The sequence below is a fragment of the Homo sapiens genome, chromosome 16 (genome assembly GCF_000001405.40).
Source record: "Homo sapiens chromosome 16, GRCh38.p14 Primary Assembly".
NCBI lineage: Eukaryota > Metazoa > Chordata > Mammalia > Primates > Hominidae > Homo > Homo sapiens.
In genome coordinates, this window is record NC_000016.10 from 22,506,327 (window position 1) to 22,510,890 (window position 4,564).

The window sequence follows — 4,564 nt, forward strand, 5'->3', positions numbered from 1 at the left end:
CAGGTGATACCCCTGCCTCAGCCTCCCAATGTGCTGGGATTACAGCTGTGAAGCCACCGCGCCCGGCTGCTGTGATAGTTGAGATGTAAACCAAAAATAAAATTCTAAGCCACCCAGTCCGACTGAATGGACCCTTCCTGTTGAGCAAGGACATTCCAAAGTAAACTGAAAAGACCAGCTTAGGCCATGATGGGAAGGGGAGGTGTCAACATGCCTCATTCTACCTTCCTCCCTCTGGAATCCAGACACAACTGACCAGCATTAACATTAAAACAGAGATCTTAAGCTGGGCACAGTGGCTCATGCCTATAATCCCAGCACTTTGGGAGGCCAAGGTGGGATCACCTGAGGTCAGAAGTTCAAGACCAGCCTGGCCAGTATGGTGAAGCCATGTCTCTACTAAAAATACAAAATTAGCCGGACATTGTGGTGCACGTCTGTCATCCCAGCAAGGCAGGCGAATCACTTGAACCCAGGAAGCAGAGGTTGCAGTGAGCCAGGATCATGCCATTGCACTCCAGCCTGGTCAACAGAGCGAGACTCCGCCTCATTAAAAAAAAAAAAAAAAAAAAAAATTAGCCGGGCGTGGTGGCGGGCACATGTAGTCCCAGCTACTAGGGAGGCTGAGGCAGGAGAATGGTGTGAACCAGGGAGGCGGAGCTTGCAGTGAGCCGAGATTGTGCCACTGCACTCCAGCCTGGACAGAAATGCATTTCATAATGCATTTTAATTGCATTAGCAGTGATTTAATTTTTTTAGATGCTAAAACTTATGGGTGAAAGTGGATTAAATGTAGCCAAATGCAACATCAAAATCTTCAGGCACAAAAACCCATTAACTTTTTCATACTCTCAGAAGGTGAACCTAATTTCAAATGAAAGCTGCCTCCAGAATATATTGTTAAGCGTATTCTAGATATAATTCATTTTGGCAAACATACTGTAGAAATTCACATAACATTTTACTGTACTAAAAGTAAATTGCCCATGTAACAAAAAATATCTTTTCAGAGCTTGAAATGAATTTTAAAGGATGACTGATGGTCCTTGGAAGAGAAACAGTAAACAAATAAGGTTTGTAGCAATGATGTATGAGTTAGAAATTGCAGTTCCAGATGATCTCTTTATTAAAGAGACGATCTACACTTAATTTGGTCAAGTGTTATGAACATAGTTCATGTTAAGTCTCCATTTAAATACAACCTGAAATACCAAAGTTAATTTTCTTTTCTTTCTTTCTTTTTTTTTTTTTTTAGAAGGAGTCTTGCTCTGTTGCCCTTCCTGGAGTGCAGTGACGTGATCTTGGCTCACTGCAACCTCCACCTCCTGGGCTTGAGCGATCCTACTGCCTCAGCCCCCCAAGTAGCTGGGAGGACAGGCGCAAGCCACGGCACTCAGCTAATTTTTGTATTTTTCGTAGAGATAGGGTTTCACCATGTTGCCCAATTTGGTCTCGAACTCCTGAGCTCAAGTGATCCGCCCGCCTTGGCCTCCCAAAGTGCTGGGATTACAGGCATGAGCCACCGTGCCTGGCCAGAAAATTGTAAACACACACAAACTCTCAAGTGGCCTAATTCCCTCTCACCAAACCAATCACAATACAGATAAAAGAGAATAACTTGTGTTCATTTTTGTACAAACAAAAAAGATATAAATTGTGAATGATGCATGATTTTTAATTACAAGTAAACTGGGCAAATGCTTCTGCATTATTTAAAGCTAAAAGGTGATCAGTGGAAACTTTCCTCTGTTAGTACTCTAATACTTTTTATATTTATCGGCTCACTACAACCTGTGCCTACCAGGTTCAAGCGATTCTCCTGTCTCAGCCACCTGAGTAGCCGAGACCACAGGCACGCACTACCATGTCCGGCTAATTTTGTATTTTTAATAGAGACAGGGTTTCACCGTGTTGGCCATGCTGGTCTTGAACTCCTGACCTCAACCGATCCGCCTGCCTTGGCCTCCCAAAGTTCTGGGATTACAAGCGTGAGCCACAGCGCCCAGCCTTATTATAATTGTTACTATTTAAATCTCTTTTGCTCTCTCCTTCAAGAGAGACCTCATCCCATTCAGTTGCTTCCATTTATTTATTCATCTTCTGCCTCCTGGGCTCGAGAGATCCTCCAGCGTGAGTCTCCCAAGTAGCTGGGACTACAGGCTCACACCACCAAGCTTGGCTAAATTTTGTAGGTTTTGGAGAGACAGGCTCTTGCCACGTTGCCTAGGCTGGTCTCAAACTCCTGGGCTCAGATGATCCACCTGCCTTCGCCTCCCAAAGCACTGGGACATGAGCCACCACGCCCAGCCGCAAGTACTTTTACACAAAATGCAAACACCATTCTTCCATCATAAAAGTGATACCACAGCTTCCGTGAAGTTTTGCCAGGTAGTACTCATAATTACCTTGGGTAAACTTTTTGATGTTAAACTGTATCTTCTTATTACGAGTTTTTCCATTGTATTAACTGCTTTTACAACAACACAAATAACAAGTTATTTTACAAACCATTTAGAAATTTCTGTACTATGGTCCCAGTAATGTAAAAATATATTAATGCCTATTACATTCAGATAAATTATACACTTGGAAACCACATACTTATGACTTACAGAAACTTACATAAACAAATTATAGAAATTATATGCTCAATTTTTAGGTATATAGTCTTAAATTAAGCTTAAATATACATTCTCAAGATAAATTAACAGTTCAGGGCTTCACAACTTGAAATCTGTGGAAGATGACATTGGAGACAACAGAACTCTGGTGGAATTCTTAGATGGAATTTGCCGAAACTTTTTTTTTTTTTTTTTTTGAGATGGAGTGTCGCTCTGTCGCCCAGGCTGGAGTGCAGTGGCGCAATCTCAGCTCACTGCAAGCTCTGCCTCCCGGGTTCACGCCATTCTTCTGCCTCAGCCTCCCGAGTAGCTGGGACTACAGGCGCCCACCGCCACGCCCGGCTAATTTTTTATATTTTTAGTAGAGATGGGGTTTTACTATGTTAGCCAGGATGGTCTCGATCTCCTGACCTTGTGATCCACCCGCCTTGGCCTCCCAAAGTGAAACTTTTCTTTAAAATAGAGATGGGATCTTGCTGTATTGCCCAGGCTGGTCTCAGACTCCTTGCCTTAAGCAGTCCTCCCACCTCAGCCTCCTAAAGTGCTGGGATTACAAGCGTGAAGCATTACATCCAAGTGAAACTTCTTGAGATGGTTACATAATGTCTAAATCTGCTGGTGTAGAAGTTAATAAAGTGTAGAACTGAATAAATATTAAATATTAGATCAAGTTTCTCATGTTTATCTTAACGTATAACGATTTATCTTAAAGCACTGATTTTCACAAAATAACATCAGTGTGAAATTGGAAAAGAAGCCAAATATTTTATTTCATGTATCTGGGAAATGAGGTGCTTTAGTCAACTGAATCTGCCCAAAACTAAAAAGCATTAATTAAAAAGTACTTAACTCAGAAATTATAAAAATAGCAGACATCAATAAAATACATTCTACACAGAATACGCCAACCATACACTACTCTTTTTTGATAATAAAAAATGTATTTACTGAGCCAGTTGTGGTGGCTCACGCCTATAATCCCAGCACCTTGGAAGGCCAATGAGAGTGGATCAGTTGAGGCCAGGAGTTTGAGACCAGCCTGGCCAACATGGTGAAATGCCGTCTCTACTAAGAATACAAAAATGAGCCGGGCACGGTGGCACGCACCTGTAATCCCAGGTACTCCGAAGGATGAGGCAGGATAATTGTTTGAACTCAGGAGGTGGAGGTTGCAGTGAGCCAAAATCATGCCACTGCACTCCAGCCTGGGTGACAGAGTGAGTCTCTGTCTCAAAAAAAAAAAAAAAAGAAAAAGAAAAAAAGTCAGTTGCAGTGGCTCACGCCTGTAATCCCAGCACTTTGGGAGGCTGAGGCAGGCGGATTACAAGGTCAGGAGATCGAGACCACCCTGGCCAACATGGTGAAACCTCCTCTCTACTAAAAATGCAAAAATTAGGCTGGGCACGGTGGCTCACACCTGTAATCCCAGCACTTTGGGAGGCCGAGGCGCGGAGATCACGAGATCAGGAGATTGAGACCATCCTGGCTAACACAGTGAAACCCTGTCTCTACTAAAAATACAAAAAATTAGCTGGATGTGGTGGCAGCACTTGTAGTCCCAGCTACTTGGGTGGCTGAGGCAGGAGAATGGCGTGAACCCGGGAGGCAGAGTTTGCAGTGAGCCGAGATCCCACCACTGCACTCCAGCTTAGGCGACAGAGCCAGACTGTGTCTCAAAAACAGGAAAGAAAACAAAAGAAAATTTGGACTATTGCCAATTACAAATATTTTTAGAGAAGAATTCAAAACAGTAACTGTGGATGATGGAAACAATAGTTATGATAAAAGTCTGATGAAACTTCCCAGTTCACAAGGAAATTTACTTATGTGCAGCATTTTAAGACAGTAATCAGAATCATGACTGACAGCATCATATCAGGGCCAGCAGACTTTTATAAATTTCATACAATCTTCAGAAATAATAACTTTTTTTTTTTTTTTTG

The 4,564-nt window shown here is 42.5% G+C and overlaps 1 protein-coding gene across 2 annotated transcripts in view; it reads left to right on the forward strand.

The window, feature by feature from the left end:
* Positions 1 to 4,564, forward strand: part of NPIPB5 (nuclear pore complex interacting protein family member B5) — a 32,937-nt gene that overhangs the window by 2,728 nt on the left and 25,645 nt on the right. The window contains exon 1 of one of the 2 annotated variants that reach the window (NM_001135865.3): positions 689 to 1,073. The exons of the other annotated variant lie outside the window; for it this stretch is intronic. The gene's annotated coding sequence lies outside the window, so the exon portion shown is untranslated. Of the gene's footprint in view, positions 1 to 688; positions 1,074 to 4,564 lie in introns of those variants that run through there. 2 annotated transcript variants of the gene reach the window in all.